We start from the raw sequence: 21,680 nt of genomic DNA, 5'->3' as shown, positions 1-21,680 counted from the left end.
ATAGAGGCAGAAAATAGATTAGTGGTTGCCAGGGGCTGAGGCCAGAAGATGGGAAGTGAGAGCTAATGGGCATGGAGTTTCTTTTGGGGGTTATGAAATGCTCTGGGAGAAGATACTGATGATGGTTGTATGGCTTCATGTATGTACTAAAAACCATTGAAATGTACACTTCACTAAGGTGAATTTTATGGCATGTAAATTACATCTCAATTTTGAAAGCTTCTTCATTAAGAACACAAGAGCCTGCTCCTGTAGCACATATACTAAAATTGGAATGATACGGAGATTAGCATGGTCCCTGCACAAAGATGACACACAATTCGTGCAGCAGTCCATGTTCATAAAAAGAACGCATTTGCACTCCAACGTACACATCCCCTGATCATCTTTGATTCTATTAATTTTTTTCCCCTCTGGTAAAACCCCCAAGAGGAAAAATACTCCCCTTTTCTAAATTGCTCACTAGAGTGACTAGAATGGTGTCTAATAAATTCTTTTTTTATAATGAAAATGCAATAATTATTTTACATTTAGGGCATCTGTTGAAGAGGGGGATTGTTACACGATCATGTTCCTGTCTTAAAGAGGGATTTAAACAGTTCCTCTGATCTTTTAAATATTCAAAAAGATTATTTTTGAAACTGCTGTTTAAATGGAGAAAGTAGGATTTAAGAAGGTGCAGCTTCAAAGCTGGAATTCATAGAGCCATAGAGAGGTTATAAAGCAGTATCACATAATAAAATTAAAGTGTTCCTACCAATTATAAGGGCATTCTTTTGTGAGTAAAAGCATTTCTTACGGTGTTCAAACATATCTTAGTATACTAAAGAGAAACGGAAATATTCTACACATAGACTTTATTTTATGGGAATGATAGTGCCTTCTGGGTCTTACTTCACTGGGATTTTTAAAAATCAAGGAAATATATATGAACGTGTTTTGTTCCCTCTGAAGAAATGTGGCATATAAATCCAAAACCTTGTTAACTTAATTCAATAAAACTTTATGGAAATGATATAAAAGCACCTGGTGAATTCTAGTTTATGCTCTAATTACCTACACAAAACATTTTTCACTCACTCCATAAAAGGGTTATAGCCCATTTTTTTTTTTTATTTATGCGAGCTTGAAATGAAACTCACTTCCCAGTAAGGAGGTGATTCGCTGTCAAATCATGGGAGAAAGATTGTTTGACGAGGAAAGTTGATAGTCACATCCACGTGTTCCTACCCCGCCTCACCACACCACACTCTGGAGCAAACAACTCCTTTTTCTTTTTTTTATTCTAAACTGCGCTTGAGAAGTCTTATTTATACAATTTTACGCAAGCTAAGGGGAGCACATTGCGTTCTAGTCTTCTTTTCTTCTCCCCCTCTCTCTCCTTTTTCACAGAACCTAATTATTGGACACATGGCTCCTTTAAAACAATCAAGAACAGGAAGGCATGTCCTCTCTGCCGTTCCCTCTGGCTCTGAGGAAAGGCAGCCCGTTCAGGGTTCAGGGCCCGGGAATTTTTTCTGAGCAATAACCAGCTTGAAGTGGCCCTGCCAATGGAGTCCTCTGGGGCTGAGTTATCGGAAGCCCCAGAGATGCTCGTTCTCTGCAGGACATGGAAGTCTACCCTGACCAGAGGAGGGGTGAGACCTTTCGCTAGGGTCCTTTCACCTGCTCCACGTAGACCCCCCACCAGAAGTCTGCACCCCTCCCGCCCCCTTTTGCCTCGGCAGGAAGTTTCACACTCGCTTGTCTGGCCCTGAAACAAGCTTCCTCTTTCTCAGATGCAAGGCCACCTACTCGCTCTGGAATTCCTTCACAGACTAACCAGGCCCTTCTTGAGCAGGCCCCCAAAAGAAAAATGATTAATGTGGCTGATACGTATATTGCAGACTGTCCGTCAACAGAAGTGGAAAAAAAACACCTTTGGGGGCTGTCCCTAGGCTTAGGCACTACAGCGAGTTCCCAGCTTCAAAGGAGCTTTATCTAAAAGCCATTTTTCTCTGGAGCTGAGAGGAGCAGGGAGAGCGGGCAGCCGGCCAGCCACAGCTGGAGAGAGGACTCTAAAGGCCTGTTGAGCACCAGCTCCTTTGCTGGGTTGCCGGCTCTGGTTTTATTTTGGCCGTGTCAGATTCTGGCTTGAGTTTGTACTGATGTTGCCAGCTCATTCGTTATGCCCATAAAATAATAATGCCAGCAATAACAACAATGAATAATAATAACACAGCAGATCCCGTTTACTCAGCACTCACCATGTGCCCGATGCTGGGCTACATATTTAACCTAAATTTTCTCATTTAATCCTTACAAACTCCTAGAGGTTTAATGACCTCCCTAAACCCAAGTCAGCCATGAAATTCTGTCTGAATCCAAAGCCCATTGAGGACTCTGCTCTTCTATATATGGCCTGGGCTGTATTTTCAAATCCCCAGAGGACGGAACTTTTAAAAGGCTGTTACCCGCCCAGGCCCTGGAGGCTGGGAGGTCACCGAGGGGCTGTCATTTTTAGGAAGGTCCTATCCACAGAGAGATGGCCAAGCAATGTGCCCACCTCTTTAAGTTAAAGGCTAAGGGAAACGTCACACTCTCAAATATTAGAAGGAAAATTATAAAATTGGTGAATATCAGAGTAAAGCAAAATTTGCCTTTCATATAGTAGACACTCAAAATCATTCTATGAAGTAGAACCCTCTAATTTTTTTTCTCCTAGACTTACCTCTTTTGTGCTTAGTAGGCCCTTTTGATGTCTGTGTAGGGGAGGTATTGCCCAAGCTTATTTTCTTTGTGACAACTTGAGTTCTTGAGCCATAGATTTTTAGGCCATGTAAAATGTAGGTGGAAACACAATTTCTCCCTTAACTTCTTTTTCTCTATTATCCTGATATTTAAAACATTCGTTGATTAAGTTTTTTTTTTTTTTTTGAGATGAAGTCTTGCTCTGTCTCCCAGGCCGGAGTGCAGTGGCGCAATCTCGGCTCACTGCAACCTCCGCTTCCTGGGTTCAAGTGATTCTCCTGCCTCAGCCTCCCAAGTAGCTGGGATTACAGGCGTGTGCCACCAAGCCCGGCTACTTTTTTTGTATTTTTAGTAGAGATGGAGTTTCACCGTGGTAGCCAGGATGGTCTCTATCTCCTGACCTCGTGATCCACTTGCCTCAACCTCCCAAAGTGCTGGGATTACAGGCGTGAGCCACTGCGCCCAGCCGATTAAGCTATTTTTGAACATATCATAGTAATGTGAACCACAAATTAGCATATTTTTCCAGGGCTGGAACATTTATTGAGGTTTCAGAACCTAAACATTTCCCAAGAAAACCTGCACATTAGTATTAGCAGAGTCCATAAATTGTTTTTAGAAACAGGTACTAAATAAATCCTAAATATATAAAGAATAGAAACGAAAACAAGACAACCTATCAGAGTTTATTTTAAATGTAATCCAGATAGAAGATTTCCACTCGGGCATTTTAGCAGCACACTCTGGCTTCGAGGCCGAGTGCAGCCCTGCGGTCAGCCACAATCCCCTTGGCTCTGTTGCTTAGTCAAGGAGCAAAATCAATGGCCTGTCCTTTCCTCTTCCCCCATTCCAGCCCTGTCCCCCAAGTCTCTCCATGCAAAGAATCCTTTGTAGTTGTACCTAATTTTCCTTCAGGCCTTGTAACTCTTTATTTTATTTCTTTGGTGACACCTGTTTTACTCTAGTGGGGCGAGCAGGCACAGGTAATAATGTGGATAATTCAGACCAAGCTGCTGCATGGATTCTGGTAGAGGCACAGAACAGGGATGGTGCCTCAGCTGGCCTGTTGGCCCCCCAGGACAACCAGGGAGGCTTGTGCCCGTCCAGCTCTTGTGGGATAATCCCCAGCTCGAAACCGCCACATAGTCTTAAGACGGCTCCTGCAATCCACCTGGCCCAGAGCTCTTCACAACAGGGCTAAGTTACTTCCCACCCTTGCCACCCATATCCTCCACCTCCACCTGCTGTGCCCTCGGATGTGTCTCCAGGCCTTTGCTGAGCTCTCTCTTCTTCCTAAAAGCCCTTCCTTCCTGACGTGGCCAGAATCCTAAGCAGCTTTCCAGGCTGAAAGACAGCTTCCCTCACGGGCTTCCTCACTTCTCCGCAGCCATAATGAAACCTCTTCCGCTTCCCTTTCTCCCTTCCTCCTTCCCTTCTTCCTTAATATTTTATTACGGGAAACTTCAAACATATTCAAAAGTAGACAAAATAATGCAATGGAATTTTGTGTTCCTCTTGCCCAGGTTCAACAATACGAATGCATGCCCAGCGAGGTTTCACCTGTTCCCATTGGATCATTTTGAAGCAAATCCCAAATCTCATCATTTCATCCACAAGTGTTTCAGAATGTATTTCTAAGAATTCTTTAAAAAAAAAACTTAACACAATGCAATTATCATACCAAATACAACAATTCCTTAACATCATTACATTTCCCCAACTGTCTAAGAATTTTTTTTAATAGTTTGTTTAAATGAGAATCCAAGTAAGGTCTATGCGCGGCAAATGACGGATTGGTTTCTTAAGCTGCTTTGAATTTATGGCGCCCCACCTGCCTCTCCCTAATTTCACTGGTGAAGATCCAGGGTCCCTTGTCCTGCAGAGCCCCCAGAGTCTGGACTTTGCTGAGGGAGTCCTAGTGTTTCCCTTTGATGGTCCCTCTGCTTTGGCATCTGGAGCCCTTGGAGTCACTGGGGGGCCTCTGGGGACTTGCCTAGGAGGCAGGGTCCTTGAGGCGAGGTCCTTCCCCCCTGGGTCCCTCAGGAAATGTCCTTTGAAGTCTGTGGCAGGTGTAACTTAGGATCCTGAACCTCCAGAGTCCAGAAGTGTCCCTGCCTGGGGCCCGCACCTCAACTCCCACAAATTGGGGCAGAAACTCTTCAGCCTCTGCCAAGACAGACCCTTGTCAGGCCCCTGAGCTCCAGCCAGGAGCCGATTCCGTGTGGAATCTGAGCGAAAGTTAAGTGCCTGGACTACCCAGATTCTGGCCTTGCCTGGCCTTCTTCAGTGTAGCTGATGCCCAGGTTGCCACAGGGCAGGCGGAGTTCCAGATCCACCCCTCCTTCTTTAAGCCAAAGCCTGTGAGAGGAAATTGCCATTTCTGAGCATCTTAGACTTTCTCTCCTCCCCCTTTCCTTCTTACCTCTGTGTGGGTCTCCTTTCCATCTGCATTGCATTTACTTAAGTAAATACCCAATTTACATGCCACAGGAGTGACAAAAGGACTTAAAACAATTCAAGAGAACTGCCATGGTGCAAAATCCCATTTTTGAAAGTCAGAAGTCTGATACCACCTATCTATCCCTGTTTAACCACCCAATTCATTCCTGAAATTCTTGCTGTTAAGGACAAAGTCATTTAATGAAAGAAATTTTTCCCATTAATTTTAATGGAAAAAAATTATGAGGCATTGTCCTCCAAACCAAGATACTCAGATAATTTTCACAGGTAGGAAACTCTATCCATTGAACAATAAAAGTAAGTAATGCAAGTAATAAACAACAACACAAAGGTAGAGGAATCTAGTTTGTACATAAAGTGCAAGGTAATAAAGGTTTTTGGAACTCACCAAAGGAGCAAGAGTAGTTGAGGGAGGGCATCATTCTTTGGAAGGCTCATTCTTTCTTCATGTTTACTTCACCCATTTTTCAACCTTTGGGCTGACAACTATTTTGCCTGCAAATGATGCTTTAAGCTATATACAGATTAACATTGCTAGAGAAAAATAAAGGCTGAGCGCAAGAGTGCTTGGCAGTGTGGGAATAGCACAAATGTACAAGAAACTGAGAGCTATAGAAGGTGCTGGCTCCTTCTCTCTCTCGCCGGGTTCACATTTGCAAGGCACACTGAGTCTGTGCAAACAAGGTGCACAGGTGCACAGTTCAGGTCTGTTTCATATGATATTCTTTGGTGAGACACTGTTATGTCAACTAAATTCTGAGTGTGGTTTTGCCTGCCTTGGATGTCAAAATATCACTGCTTCTAGCATATTTATTTAGTGTGCTTTTTGGATAAAAGGATATTGTACTGAAAAAAAAGCCATTGTCCAAAATGTGTTTCCAGAGCCGTTATGTTGAAGAGTTAATGCCACAGTCATTATGTGAGGAAAACCTGTGTGCCTTGGTCTTTCCCTGAGCTTTTCTTCTGCTGCGAGTCCCGATTTCCTCTCAGGTAAATACATGCTTCAGGTAGACTAGTATAAAGGTCAGGTTCTCAGAAAGCCAAATAAGAACGGCCCCTTGATACTTATATTACCAACATCATACTTATCTGCTTCTTACTCCTAAGTTCATAGTTCTTCAAATCACTGATGCATGCAACAACATGGATGAGTTCCAAAAACAAGCAGAGTGAAAGAAGCCAGACAACAGAACACACTACATTTGTCTGAAATCTGGAGTAGGCAAGACAATCCAAGGAAACATAAACCAGAACGTGTTCCTTGTGGGTGGGAGTGGGGGACTGATAAGAAAGAAGAATAAAGGAATTTTCTGGGATGAATGAAATGTTCTTCACCTTGCTTTGGGTGGTGGTTACACAGGTATCTGTAACTGTCAAAATTCACCAATCTCAACATCTAAGACCTATGCATTTTACTGTAAGTTGGTGCAAAAGTAATTGCGGTTTTTGCCACTGAAAGGAATGGCAAAAAGTAAACTTTTGATGCCGTTAAAAGTAATGGCAAAACCCACAACTACTTTTGCATCGACCTAATTAATTTTAATAGTGAAAACCGCAATTACTTTTGCACCAATCTAATATGTGTAAGAAGTTTAAAATAAATTAAAAAAAAAAAGAATTCAAGAGTCTCTTAACATGGTTATTAAACGTGTGCCTGAATAAACTTTATAGGCTTTGAGGTGGGAAGGCTCAGGTGTGAATTCCAGTTTCATGACTCCCTGCTGGAGGATCTTGGGCAAGCTAATTGACTTTTCTTAGCCTCAGTTTTCTTTCTTTTTTCTTTTTCTTTCTTTTTTTTTTTTGAGACAGAGTCTTGCTCTGTCGCCCAGGCTGGAGTGCAGTGGCATGATCTCGGCTCACTGCACCCTCCACCTCCTGGGTTCAAGTGATTCTCCTGCCTCAAACTCCCAAGTAGCTGGGACTACAGGTACGTGCCACGCCTGGCTAATTTTTTGTATTTTTAGTAGAGACGGAGTTTCACCGTGTTAGCCAGGATGGTCTTGATCTCCTGACCTCGTGATTTGCCCGCCTCGGTCTCCCGAAGTGCTGGGATAACAGGCGTGAGCCACTGCGCCCGGCAGCCTCAGTTTTCTTATCAATAAACCAGTGGTGAAAACAGTAAGTAGCTCATAAGGGGCTGTGCACATTAAATAGGCTAATGCCCACAGAGCTCTTAATAAGTGACAAGTAAGTATCATGTTCCTCATCTCCCCTGAGTACTTTCAAGGGTACTCGTTGAAGTCCCCGCATCCACCTCCTGTTGTCACTATTCACACTCTCCCATGGCCTCCCCTCCAGTCTGTCCCATCTTTCTCAGACGCTGTCCCTGCCCCCTGATCCCCTGGCCTCAGTTCCATCAGCCCTGGCACAGAGTGCCCTTCTAGTCTCTTTATCTCCCCTCTTGCCAAACATCTTTGGTGCTTTCCCAGCGGGTTCCTCTGCCAGCAGGTTCTGTTGCCTGCCATCCAGCCTCCCGCAGAACTGTTGCATACAGAGCCTTCCTCCTGGTATCCAGGCTTCACCTGGTTTCCTTCCATTCACACTAACAGGGAATTCTCATGCCTCCAGCACACGCCTGGCCTTGTCCAGCCCTGCGTCTTTGTTCACAGTAGCCTTTTTACCTGAAATAGACTCTTCCATTGCTTTCATGTCTCAAAGACCCAGGAAGGCTTCCCTGACCCCAATCCAGCCTGCAGCAGCATCTCTTCCCCGTCTGCATGCTGTAGCTTTTTATGCAATTCAACACTACTTTGTTCAGCACATGTACATCTTTGTTTGGTAGTTGTTTTTGACAGTGTTATCTTCATATAGTAAAGTAAGTGTTCCAAGAATGAAAGGCTTTTATACACTTTTGTATTCCCCTCATTGTCATGTACCTAGGAAGTCCTCAGCAGATATTTGGTGAATGGCTCTTATTGTCTTTACAATTTCAAAGCCCTTACATGTTAGCAATCTTCACATCACAGCAACACTTCGCAGAGCTAAGGGCAGATATGCAGATATTGTCATCTGCTTGTGACCAACGAGGAAGCCAAGTGCAGGCAGCGGGGAGGGTGTACAGAGCCACACACCTAGCATGAACCCAGGCCAGGCTTTCTAACTTCCTAACTTCTCCGTATCACCCTGTAAGTCACGACATTGCCCTGGTGTCCAATGGTATTGCAGAGTGAGTAAGAGAGCACTGAGGTTAATAGCATCTAACAGTTACCACTGTCAAAAAAGACCATGTTACTTAGTCTGTTTGTGCTGCTTTAACAGAACACCATAGACTGGGTGACTTATAAGGAACAGAAATTTATTTCTCACAGTTCTGGTGGCTGGGAAGTCCAAAATCAAGACCCCAGGATTTGGTCTGGCAAGGCCCTTCTTGCTGTGTCCTCACATGGCAGAAGACAAAAGGGCCTTCATCCCATTAATAAGGGAGCCGCCCTCAGGGACTATTAATCTGTTAAAGGCCCCACCTCTTAATACTATCACATTGGCAACACCTATGTTTTCTTTTCTTTTCTTTTTTTTTTTTGACATGGAGTCTCGCCCTGTCACCCAGGCTGGAGTGCAGTGGTGCGATCTCGGCTCACTGCAAGCTCCGCCATTCTCCTGCCTCAGCCTCCTGACAGCTGGGATTACATGTGCCCGCCACCACACCTGGCTAATTTTTTATATTTTTTTTTAGTAGAGACAGGGTTTCACTGTGTTGGCCAGGATGGTCTCTATCTCCTGACCTCGTGATCCGCCCACCTCGGCCTCCCAAAGTGCTGGGATTACAGGCGTGAGCCACTGTGCCTGGCCGGCAATACCTAAATTTTTGAGGGGACACATTTAAACCACAGCGGTTATCAAATTGCACAGAGATTGATGGCAGTGGTTAGCTTACTTAAATGATTTTCTTTTCTTTCTGCTCCTTCCTGCACACTGATATTTAAATGATGTTAAAGAAGTGTTTAATTCTTGGTGCAGGGTCCTGGCAAAGTTAGGGATGAGGTAAAAAAGACTCTGAAGAACTCCAGCCTAAGCCTAACACCCTACTTATTGGAAAGGAGACTCCAAGAAAGCTTCCTTAGGTCGAGGTAGTGAGTCCAGCCCTGAAGGTGCACAGTCCTCCAATCAAATAAGCCCGGAGTGGAGCAGCATCCTGACAGACACTGAGTCACCTGCTTCCTCCAGCCAAGGACAGAAACACTCTCTCTAGTTGCTAAAGGTTGAGACAATGCTTGGTGGTTTGGAGATATTCGCAAACTTCTTCCCCAAGTTATTTCATCTGTGCATCTTTCTCTTGTTCCATTTTCCCAGGGCAACGCAAACCATCTACATTAACATATTCATTTTCTAGGGCTGCCATAAAAAAGGCCACAACCTAGGAGGCTTAAATATATTAAAACACATTGCCTCCCAGTTCTGGAAGCTAGAAGTCTGAGATCAAGGTGTCAACAGTGCCACATTCACTCGGTGGGTGCTAGGGATGGGTCTGTTGCAGGCCTCTCTCTGGCTCTGGGAGCTCCTAGGCTGTGGCAGCACAACTCCAGTCTTCACGTGGCGTTCTCCCTGTGTGCACATCTGTGTCCAATCTTCCCTTTTACAAGGACATCAGTCATAATTGATTAGGAGCCCTGCCCAGTAGGTACCTACTCCAGTGTGACCTGATCTTAACTAATGACATCTGCAAACAACCCTGTTTCCAAATAAGCTCACATACTGAGATACAAGGAGTCAGGACTCAACATATGGACTTCAGGGGATGCAACTTGACCCATAGCAGTCAATGTTTCTCAAACCTCAGTCATTTTTTAGACCACCTTTATAATTGTTCTCTTGAATAATATGAGACCTATACTATTAATTTGCCATTAGCTCTTTTTTTTTTTTACCTAATACCATAATACTGTATACCATGAACAGAAAACCAGTATCACATGGCATAAAGAAGTTGATGATAAACATAATACATAAAATACATTACAAACATAAATAATGTAATGTAATAAATATAAAAACATGACTATTAAAATAAGTGTTTTGGCCAGCCATGGTGGCTCACACCGGTAATCCCAGGACTTTGAGAGGCTGAGGTGGGTGGATTGCTTGAGCCCTGGAGTTTGTGACAAGCCTGGGCAACATGGCAAAACCTCGTCTCTGCAAAAAATACAAAGATTAGCCCGGGGTAGTGGTGCATGCATATAGCCCCAGCTACTTGGTCGGCTGAGGTAGGAGGATCACCTGAGCCTGGGATGTCGAGGCTACAGTGAGTACCACTGTACTCCAGCCTGGGCAACAGAGTGAGACCCTGTTTCAAAAAACAAAACAAAACAAAACAAAACATAAATAAATAAAATCACTGTTTGCCAATGTATTACTCCAAATCTTTTTCTTATCTCCTGTAGCTGAAAACTGCCTTTGGAAAATACATACTATATTTAATCTTGATGGGGTCTGAGGGGCATTTCTAGAAATTACATCAAAAGCCAAGAAGGCACTCTCAGCATGAGAATCTCAGGCCCTCATAGGGTGGAAACAGAGAAAGGCTGTGGTCCACTAGGGCTTGGGAGGGGAGGATGAGGTCTAATTACTCTACCGACACAGTACACAGATCAGAGGATCAGAGAGTGACCTTACAAATCACATTTCATAAAAGAAAAAGTGAGGCCCAGAGAGCTGAAGGCCAGACAGCACCAGGGCCCAGGCTGGAACCTGATCCCTGATTCCCACTCTCACATCAGTGAAGCGAACCCTGCGGTGCGGCAGCTGGATAGAGCTTCCTGCAGCCGATTAAAGATGAGGTTTGCAACGCACCCGGGTTCTGTCTTGAGGCTCATGACACACCTGGGTGTCGGCAAACTCTTGGCGATCAGGCATCTTTCTGAGCTAATTTTGGTTTATTCTTAGCAAAAGAGAAAGGTGCTAAGTTTAGCATAAAGATGGTGCTTCCAATTGTCCTCAAACTGTTTGCTAAAGAGAACTATGTTGTTTTCTGGTTGGTTAGTTTTATTTTTTGAAAATATAGTAGTTGCACGTGGTTAAAATTCACATCATGCTAAAAGGTATGTGGTAAAAAGTTTTCTTCCCAGTTCTAACTCACAATATCCGAAATCCCCCCTCTGTAGGCCCACAATTCATCTGTTTTGCGTATCCTTCTAGAGCTGTGAAGGTGGAGTAGCAGCTTTAACACAGACACCAATGAAATATCTGAAACAAATTTCACCAGAATTATATCACTTCTGGGAACAACCCCTCAGTCTCCACGGATCCGGTGCTTCTACCCTACCCCCTACTTAACTCATTTTCTTTCTCGTCCTCTTTTAATTAAATTTTAGCCTTTTTAAGGTATTCCAGGTGAAGAATACTGGATAGGAATGGGGCAAGCAGCTGCAGCCACGCCCACTGGCTCATGAAGGAGAGTCTGGCTGCCCATACGAGGAGATCAATAAATCTTGTCAGAATAAGAATTTGGGAAAGGAGAGAGGTAGATAATAACATTTATTCAGCACCTACTATTTGACAGAAACTTTAAAATATAACCTCATAAAGTGGGTGTTTTCATTTCCAGTTTGTAGAAAGGAACCCAGGGGTGAGAGGTTATGGAACTGGCCTCAATCCCCGCTCGTCCGATTCCAAAGCCCATGCTCTCTTGTCTGCATCCTTTTGGGGACGGGAAATCTGCTGGAATTACTTCCACTTAAGGGAACAATTCACAGTATCAGACAGATCCGGTTCCTTACAGGATAGGCTTCATCTTTATCTTTGCGGTTCTTCTGCAACTGTACGTGGTCTAGGGATGCAATAAATGCATGCATATTGAGTGCCTGAGATCACCAAGGAAGAGAGAAGGAGAGAAGACACAGGATAGAAAACCAGGGATCAGAAACATTCAGAAGTGTGGAAGGTCACCTTTGGGGCACGTGAGATTCGAACCAGAGCCCAGGGAGAAAAGAAGTTCAGGAAGGAGGGTTAACAGCATGGGCTGCTATGGAGGCCTGAAGATCAGCTTCTAGAAGATGCTGTTGGTGCTGATGACTGGTGATCTGTGAGTGGATTCAGTAAAGTGGCAGAAAGGAAGGCAGATTGTGTGTGTATGTGCATGTGTGTGTGTGTGTGTGTGAGAGACAGAGAGAGAGAAGTGCACTTAATGCCGATGTTCACCTCATGTCTTGTTTTCCGGCTACTGCAACTTGATGAGGTTACATTTACCAGGCCTTCATTCTGAAGCCTGGCATTTCTCCCAAGAGTGCCAGTTCTGCCTAATGAGAGCAACTCAAGCGAATCCACAGGAAAGAAAAAGGAAAGTGACATTTTAATTTTATCCAGGCTGAAACACAACTGTACGCAAGGAATGTGCCTGTAATTCTGAATCATGAATGTACCAATGCCTTGCTTTATGGAATAGAAATGTGCTCTGTCCAAATTGGCTGTGAGGTGAATAAACATTACTTTTCCACTGAATTCAGCTATAAAACGACTGGAAATCTTTCCATGGGGATTGGGAAAAAAAAAGAAAAGAAAAGAAAAACAGAGAAACAAACCCACTGCCAGAAGGAAGAGAAGACACAGAGCTGACCATGGCCGGCTCCTGCAGGGCAGAGGTGACTCCGCGCTTTTCTGGGACCGATTTGTGTTGCCTTCTTCCAAATACCCTGATCTGTAAGGATTGCTCTAACTTCCTCCTGCTTTGTTTTTCCCTTAATAGGGAAATACGGGCTATTACACCCAGCGGAGCTGGCATACAATATTTTGCTTTGCCTGGGGTCCATTTGACACAATGCTGAATGTTCCTTACGTTCAAGGGTTTTGGCTGCATAAACTCAGTAATTCCCTACTTCATCAGTTAGTAAATACACAATTATATGTATCAAGTTTACTCGGACTGGGAGGTGGCACAGCACTGTGCTTTTGCACATGGGGCTTCACAGCCACAGAGACCTGGGTTTGAGACCCAGCTCTGCCACTTAGCAGCTACGCAAGCTTGGCTCTGTTAAAATCTCTGGGTTTTTATGTGATAGGGATAAGATACACCTCGGGGGATTACAGGAAGCATTAAATGAAATTACATGTTTGTATATACACACACATACACACACACCTGTGTTTGTATGCATACACACCATGTGTTCGATGCTTTATGCTGAATATTTACTGGGTACATATTCAGCAGGGGTAGTAATTGTGATGATGGTGGTGATAATAACAATACACACACAGAATCTTGTCCCAGTAGATTACCCTTTTATATTCTGCCACAGAGATCTATTTCCATTGCCCAAAGGCACACAATTTTCACAGCTTTCTAAAATCTCAAGCCTTCTACATTAATAGTACTAAAAGAATTTTTTCCCAATCAGAAGGGCAACATTTTTAAATCTACAGATAAGAAATGCTACCATATGCCTGAGAACCTCCGTCTTCCGCAAGTCACATCACCGCCCAAGAATGTACTGTCCAGGGTGTCTCATTACTTTGTTAGCCAAACAAAATGTGGCCAGAACTATGGAATGTGTGTGCTGGCCCACGTGCACCTGTTTGTACATATGATCACAACTAAGAGGATCTTTTTACAGAGTAATGGGAAGGTGTAAGGAAGGGTCTGGAACCCAGGGGGCCGAAATCCTGACAAGGTCAGTCTTCCCAGCTGGGTAACCTGGGGCAAGTTATTTAACCTTTCTGTGGCAGTTTCCTCACTTGTAAACTGTGGGGTGATTATGCCTCTCTTACAGGGCTTATCCTGGGGATTAGAGAAGGAGATGAATGTAAAGACCGTGGCACAGGCCAGCATGCTAGTGATTCTTCTCTTCCCCTTCTCAGGACACCCCGTATTGCCTTTACTGGTAATTCAGACTACAGAATTTCCTCAATTTTCAATACTCGTGGAGAAATACAGTGGCGCATATATCCAAATTGCATAAACTCAGTAGTTTTCAAAACCTGAGTCATGTGGAGAGTAATTCTTCTACTCAGAATGGCAGGAGATCTGTTCCAGTTACAGTAACTTGACTACGTTGTCAATAACGAAACTTTAAAGACTAATCACACAGTGAAATGTATTAATACCAGACAGCCCACTATTTCATCTGTAATTACTACCTTCCATCCTCCTCTTGCCTGTGGACCCCCATGACAGGGATGGATTTCAGGATCCATCACTTAAATCAGTTCCTCGCAAGTTCCTTCATTAATTCAGTCCCTTAATTCTCTTATCTGGCTGTCTGCCTTCTCTTGTTTGTGTGCTGAATGAGCTGAACGCTGCTGGACAAAGCCACACAACTTGGCTGACACTAGATTTAACTTCTTTTAGGTCATGAGTTCACACTCCTCGTGGACACTCAACCTTGGTTGGAAATCCTACCATGTTTCTATAAGGTCACTCTTCTCTTTCTGAGATGACTATTTCGTACTTTCTTCTCAACCTCCCACATTCCCTTCCCGCCTCCTAGAAGGTGATCTTGCTTTATTCTTTATTCAGAAAATAGAAACTGTTAGGGTGACTCTCTCATCTTTCCATTTCCAAACAAACAAGTCTCCCTGCATCTACACCAGCCCACAGGATCTTCCTTCCTGCAATGACAGAGGTTGCCCTTCCTACCAAAAGGCTTGTGACCCCAGTGCGTCCCTCCTTAGTGCTTTTCCACCTGTAATGTGTGTGTGAATTGCCTGGGGAGTTGTTAAAATGCACAGTCTGATTCAGCAGGTCTGGGCCAGGGGCCCAAGATTCTGCATTTCTAACCAGCTCCCAGGTGATGTCAATGATCTGAGCAGCAAGTGTACATTCCCTTCCCTTCTTTCTCTTTTAGGTCATTTTTATCATCATAAGCAGGCTCTAGTAGCTTCCATTTTTAAAGCTCCTCCCTTGATCAAACATCTCTCTCAAACTACCACCCCAGTCCATCTCCTTTTATTTTATTTATCTACTTTTTTGAGACGGAGTCTTGCTCTGTCGCCCAGGGTGGAGTGCAGTGATCTCGACTCACTGCAACCTCCGCCTCCAGGGTTCAAGTGAGTCTCCTCCCTCAGCTTCCTGAATAGCTGGGATTACAGGCGCCCGCCACCACGCCCGGCTAATTTTTGTACTTGTAGTAGAGACGGGGTTTCACCAAGTTGGTCAGGCTGGTCTCAAACTCCTGACCTCGTGATCCACCTGCCTTGGCCTCCTAAAGGGCTGGGATTACAGGCGTGAGCCACCGCGCCCGGCCCAGTCCATCTCCTGTTAAAACAATTCTTACTGAAACAATTTTCTACCCAGGCTGCTTCCACCATTCCAAATTTTACCTTTTTGCTATGTCTTTTTCTTCTGATTACAAAAGTAATGCACATTCACTTTTAAAAATCTAAACTTACCAAAATGTATCATACAGAAACGAAACTCTATCCTCCCTTAGGTAAGGCTTAGTTATTTTTTTTCACCTTAAACATTTTAATTTGGAAAAAAATTTACACATAGAGAAGTAAAGATGATACTATAACAAACATCTGTGTATTTGTCATATTTATTGGCTGCATATCTTTACTAAAAAATCAGAGATAAAATTGAAATATTTTCTATGTGCCTATTTAGTGTTGTTTCCTCTTCTCCCCCAAGGCCACCATCGTGAAGTTGGCATGTGCGTTTGTTAGGCTCAGATCAGCTGCACAGATCAGAAACTCCAACACAGCAGTAGGTTAAAGAAGATAAAAACAGACTTCTCTTTCACAGGAAGGTCTGGGGTCTGGGTGGGATGAACAGGGTCCTTCGGTGCTCTGGTCTCAGGGGCCCAGGCTCCAGCTACCTTGCAGCTCCAACATCTTGTAGTCCAGGGCAGCAGCTCCAGGTCCTGCATTTCAGCAGCAGGTAGGAAGTTTAACTCTGGTATGGCTCTTACCTCTGCAGTTCTCCCTCATGAATTTTACTTTGCATACACTTCTGCTATTGACTTCATCAATAATTCCAGTTGCTTAATCTTCCCATAATTCCTCAGAATACTTCATCTACTGATGGTATTTTTTTTTCATTAATAGTATAGGTTTATCATTATTATTATTTGAGACAGAGTCTCACTGTGTTGCCCAGGCTGGAGTGCAGTGGTACAATCTCGGCTCACTGCAACCTCTGCCTCCCGGATTCAAGTGATTCTCCTGCCTCAGCCTCCCGAGTAGCTGGGATTAGAGGTGCGTGCCACCACTTCTGGCTAATTTTTGTATTTTTAGTAGAGACGGGGTTTCACCATATTGCCCAGGCTGGTCTTGAACTCCTGACCTCAGGTTATTCACTTGCCTCAGACTTCCAATGTGCAGGTATATTATTATTATTATTATTATTGTTATTATTATTATTACTATTTTGAGATGGAGTCTCGCTCTGTCGTCCAGGCTAGAGTGCAGTGGCGCAATCTCGGCTCACTACAAGCTCCTCCTCCTGGGTTCACGCCATTCTCCTGCCTCAGCCTCCTGAGTAGCTGGGACTACAGGCGCCCTCCACCATGCCTGGCTAATTTTTTTTTGCATTTTTAGTAGAGACGGGGTTTCACCGTGTTAGCCAGGATGGTCTCAATCTCTTGACCTCGTGATCCACCCGCCTCAGCCTCCCAAAGTGCTGGGATTATAGGCGTGATATTATTTTTAAAATAAGCACACTTAAAAATGTTTTAACATGTCATCTCAGGACATTTTGGGCAGGACAGATGGCGAGCCATGTGATTCACCTGCAAGGCTTGGTTCTGGTCTTCTTTGTCTTCTCATTCTACCCTTAATCTCCCCAAGTAATCTCATCGTCTCTCATAATTGCATTCCCCTTTATACTCTGATGATTCCCAGCTTCATAGCTACCATGCTGGGCCGTGTGCTCTCCTGAATATGAGGCTGGTATATCCAGTGACCCAACACTTCTACTTGGATGTATTCGAGGTACTTAAATCTCAACAGGTTCAAAACTGAACAACTTTGGTCTTGCTGCTCCATATTCTTGCCCTTGTTGACAAGGTCCCGATGGGCTCACCAGCACCACACCTCCATTCCAGACCACAGGAAAGAATAAAGAGGGAGAGGAGGGTGGGCCGCTTCATTTTACAAGACGAGATCTGCAAATTTGCTCCCATCACTTCGGTTCACTTCTTTTGACCAGAATTTTGTTCCACGGCTATGCCTAGCTTGAACTGTATTAGTTAGTTATTGCTGTGTAACAAATCACTGGCTTACTGGCTTAAGTCAATACCTTCTATTGTTGCTCACAAATATAAGGATCAGGTGGACAGTTTATCTGGTCTTGGTTGGGCTGATGCAGCACCTGCTATCAGCCACACAGTAGGTGGCTCTGATCTTGGCTGGGTTCCTGCATGTACTGGAGGATTGGTTGGTCTAGGATCGTCTCAGTTCTTCTCCACATGATCTCATACCTTCTAGTAGGCTAGCCTGGGGCTTACTCTCAAGGCATGGAAGGAATCCAAGAAAGTGGGGAAGTGTGTAAGACTTCTGGAGGCCAAGGCTGGAAACTGGCACAAGATAACTTCCAGAGTCTCCTGGTCAAAGCAAGTCACAAGGCCAGCCAAGTGGTGGGGAACAAAGACTCCACCTTCCCATGAGAAAAGCTGCAAAGGATGTAGATACTGGGAAGGATTGGGACCATTTTTTGTAATCAACCTATCACATGGTGGTTGAGGAATTTAGTTTCTAGTGGGGTGGCCACATGCCCTGCTGAAATTCCAATAGTTCTATTTATAATAAAAGGAAGAAAAGGAGAATGGATATTAGGGATAATTTATAGACTCTGCCTCAGAAGGAATCATAGTTCCCCATTCATCTTCCCTAAATAGAGGACACACTCTCAATCTCTTGCCATAAATAATAATAATAGCACTCTGACAAAATTTCTATTCTTCTTAACTAGAACCCATTTCTGATTCTCCCTTGACTGTGCTGACCCAGCAACTTACCCTGTGACCTCTTAATCTACAAAAAAAATCAAGTGCAAATTGCTTGCAAACATATTGGGGGTTTAATACATACAGTCTTTATTTTGTAGTACCTAGCAAGGTAGCATCTTTATGTAAATGTACTTTAAAAATATTCACTTTATAAAAATTTTGTTATATTAAAAAACAATTTTTATATAAACCTATTTCTTCTCTCTCCCATTAAAAATCTGTAAGCTATCCACGTAACAGAAATTAACTTGTAACCCCATAAATCTATAAAAAAATTCCAAGCAATAACTAAACATTACCACTGCCTCCAAATCCAGTAGCCCAAATCTGGACTGACAAGTACACCCTAGTATTTTACTACACCCATTAAGAACACATGGGAATTTGGGGATTCTTTAATACAGGCATATGTTTTACATTTAAGTAAAAATGCACAGTCATGCTTGAATTTAACATAATTTCCTCATAGATTGCTTAAAGTGAATGGGGTCTCTGGGGAATTAATAATGGCTTCTGGAGTTTCTCATCACAGGTTTCTAATAACTGACCATACACTGCTTTGATTTTCAAATCGCAGTACTTGAGGGCTGTTTGGTGGTGAGCATAAAGTCAGCTGTTGGTCTAAAGGAAAGAGAATAAAATTGTCAAAGTTCATGGTGGCAGCCATCGTCATCATGTATTTACCTGTTTGTCAGTAGTTTCAAGTTGGAGACCAAACAGACAACGAAGAATGTGATCATCTTACTTCTAGGCAATTTTAGCACAGCGGCAGGCTCACCAGCAGAGTGTGACCTCTCACTGCCCCTTTGTACAACTACGGATTAAGGAAAAGAATCTTGGTTGGTGTTTCTCAATGTGCTCAGAGGCACCAATTGTAAAGCATCTGTTACTTTTCTGTTGCATAGCTTGACATGATTTCTCAGGAGGTCTCAATTTCCTGTAAACCAGGATGTGATTGTCATCCTGAACTCTAACCTCCTATCTAATTTTTAAAAAGATGGATGAGGGTCATGTTAAGGGGAAGGAGGGGATGCTGTGAGACGGGGGCTGGGAGTCACACAGCTCTAAAGGTTGCCAAGGTTAGTGGGTAAGGTTTCCTTCTGTAACCAGAAGTGAAAACTCTGACACTGGGCATTCTGGAATAATTGGGGTTGGCCCCCACTTTGACTGTATGGATTTATAAACAAGAGAGATCGGTGGTTACCACATCTCCCCCATTTTCCTGTGTGGGTCCCATGTTTAAAAATTCACACGTTCCTTTTGAGAAATCCTCTCAAAAAGCTTATTAGTCTTCAGACTACTCCTGTTCCTTCACAGAAAGACATACATACCTTAAGCCATGTTCAGAGATGTAAAGAAAGGCTGCAGTTGGTTTAAATCCCTCAGAGGCCTTCAGAAGCAGGAAATGAATGAAGAGGCCTAGGTGTGGAAGCCACAGAGAGGGGCAGGGTTTTTCAGATAGAAGATCCCTTCTAAAGCCATCATTGTGCATCAAGGAAAACACTGTCCTTAAGTTAAATATTTCTATGGGAAAAACTGGTCCCAGGCATTGCCTAAGATCTTAACCTTGGTACTCTGAGCACAAAAGCTCATGTGACCAACAGTCTTGGTTTGTCCAGGACCAAGGGGTTCCTGAGACGTAAGACATTCTGTTTTAAGATAACCTTAACCCACATTACCAGTGCTCATGGGGGAACGTGAGAGTGAAAGGAATGTGAACATTCCTTCTACTTAACAGAGAATGAATGTTCCAGTTGGCTCCCAAGGTGGCGGCATGGATGTGGGGAAACGCATGGCTACCATGGAAGGTCCTCAGAGGCCAAGCTACTCTAAGCTCCTTGATGGTCTCAACTCCCAAAGATTCCAGATCTGATGTAGCTTAAAATGTTAGGGTTCAGAATATAACTAGGTCAGCTCTTCAATGCCTCTGAGGACAATTCTAGGACTAGCTGAGGTATAGGGTGTGCTCATTCGGCTCGCAGTCCTGGTCCACATATGAAAGTGTTCTGTACAGTAAGGACATTTTGACAGTTACAAAGCTACCTTGAAATAAAATGCAGGTGGTCAGGATATCTGGTAGGGCTTTTTGGGTGCAATTTCAACTGTTTTCAGTATTAAGTATGAAGACCTCTCTTTTTAAAGATACAGACATCAAAAAGTTGCCATGCCTGACAATAATTAACACCCCTCTTATTGCAGTACTGAGATGCAGAGAAGTTCAGGGGTTTTCCAACTGACCTGTTTCCCCATGGCTGATCAAATCTGCATGCAGTACCTCTAAGATCAGAATGCTGGTCCCTCCTGTTTGGTCTCCCATCTAATATCAAGTCCACATTTTCTTCAACATTTTTTTTTCCCATTTTTTGAAGATGGCAAAACCCCACCACCTAGGAATTGTGCTCCTCCTTGACTCTAAGACTGAATTATGCCAATTCATTTTTATGGTATGCCCTCATAGTCAAAGGAAAGGTTTATGTGGTTTTGTCGTTGACAGTAAGGGCTCTGGTGTCACATGCTTGAATGGGAATCTCGCTTTGGCACCTGGTTAGCTTTTTGCGACTGAGGGCCACCTACACCCTTAAAAGGTAGGCTGAGCTTTTATTAGATGACTTATTATAGCCTGGTATAGTACATCCTGAATACATATTATTTCCTTTCTTTTTAATTCCTAAATAAGTTTACGTGATGAACTTCTATGTTTACTTCCTAATCTTGGAATAAGAAGAAAAGACTGACTACTTCTGCAGTTGCTATCATCAGTGGATTCCTGTAGAACAGATAAAAATCTTCCCCTTGTTTGCAGCTTGATGACAAATTAAGGACACAACGTTTTGAATGATTTAAGATCAACAAATATAATCTCAAACCATTTCCTCAATAACCAATGGTCTTGCCTCAGTCAAGGATCTGCCAACATTTTATCTAACATAGCTACAAATACTATATCTAGCAGTAACTAGTGTGAAAAATTCAGCATTATTATGGTACAAAATAATTCCTAAATTTTAGAAATGTTATCCCTGTATTTTTAAGCTAAACAATTTTGTTTACTGAGTGTCAAATTACTCTTAAATCTTATTTTACATGCATTTTAAAAAATTTATTGGAATTGTATTGCCTGCTGCAATTACAGATTTCAAGTAAAATGACCATGTTATTTGAAATCTAGACTTCAGCTCTACTAAGTTTGTTGGTTTCTCTGGAGTTTCTCTAGCTTTTACATTTTGAGGGCTGTGTACATTTGTCATGAAGTATGAATAAATCATAAAGTTGGGGAGAGAAGTTTTACAGCCTCTTCATATCACAGATGGGCATTAAACCTAAAAATGGGTCACAGGAAAACAAACAGGTCAGTGACTAGAATTCCTACTAGAGTTGTTGTAATCTTTGGTTCCTAAATATCACAAATTTTGTTTTGTTTTTGAGACAGCGTCTTGCTCTGTTGCCCAGGCTGGGGTGCACTGGCGCAATTATGGCTCACTGCAGCCTCGACTTCCTGGGTTCAGGTGATCCTCTGACCTAAGCCTCCCGAGTGGCGGGGACTACAGGCGTGCACCACCATGCCCAGCTCATTTTTGTATTTTTTTGTAGAGCCTGGGTTTTGTCATGTTG

At 43.3% G+C, this 21,680-nt stretch overlaps 1 pseudogene, besides 4 other annotated features; it reads left to right on the top strand.

The window, feature by feature from the left end:
• RNU6-922P (RNA, U6 small nuclear 922, pseudogene) lies at positions 244 to 342 on the top strand (annotated as a pseudogene).
• Positions 4,186 to 4,781: an enhancer, noted in NCBI's record as "H3K27ac-H3K4me1 hESC enhancer chr3:23650713-23651308 (GRCh37/hg19 assembly coordinates)". NCBI's record gives its function as "activates a minimal SCP1, AML or CMV promoter by ChIP-STARR-seq in primed H9 embryonic stem cells {active_cell/tissue: H9 hESC(primed)}" and the evidence as "EXISTENCE:reporter gene assay evidence [ECO:0000049][PMID:30033119]".
• Positions 4,782 to 5,378: an enhancer, noted in NCBI's record as "H3K27ac-H3K4me1 hESC enhancer chr3:23650116-23650712 (GRCh37/hg19 assembly coordinates)". NCBI's record gives its function as "activates a minimal SCP1, AML or CMV promoter by ChIP-STARR-seq in primed H9 embryonic stem cells {active_cell/tissue: H9 hESC(primed)}" and the evidence as "EXISTENCE:reporter gene assay evidence [ECO:0000049][PMID:30033119]".
• Positions 19,972 to 20,081: an enhancer, noted in NCBI's record as "active region_19597". NCBI's record gives its function as "activates an Ori minimal core promoter by ATAC-STARR-seq in GM12878 lymphoblastoid cells {active_cell/tissue: GM12878}" and the evidence as "EXISTENCE:reporter gene assay evidence [ECO:0000049][PMID:35858748]".
• Positions 20,102 to 20,151: an enhancer, noted in NCBI's record as "active region_19596". NCBI's record gives its function as "activates an Ori minimal core promoter by ATAC-STARR-seq in GM12878 lymphoblastoid cells {active_cell/tissue: GM12878}" and the evidence as "EXISTENCE:reporter gene assay evidence [ECO:0000049][PMID:35858748]".

The sequence above is a fragment of the Homo sapiens genome, chromosome 3, assembly GCF_000001405.40.
Source record: "Homo sapiens chromosome 3, GRCh38.p14 Primary Assembly".
In the NCBI taxonomy this organism is placed as follows: domain Eukaryota; kingdom Metazoa; phylum Chordata; class Mammalia; order Primates; family Hominidae; genus Homo; species Homo sapiens.
Note: the sequence above shows the minus strand (reverse complement) of the source record. Positions and strands in the feature narration are given on the sequence as shown.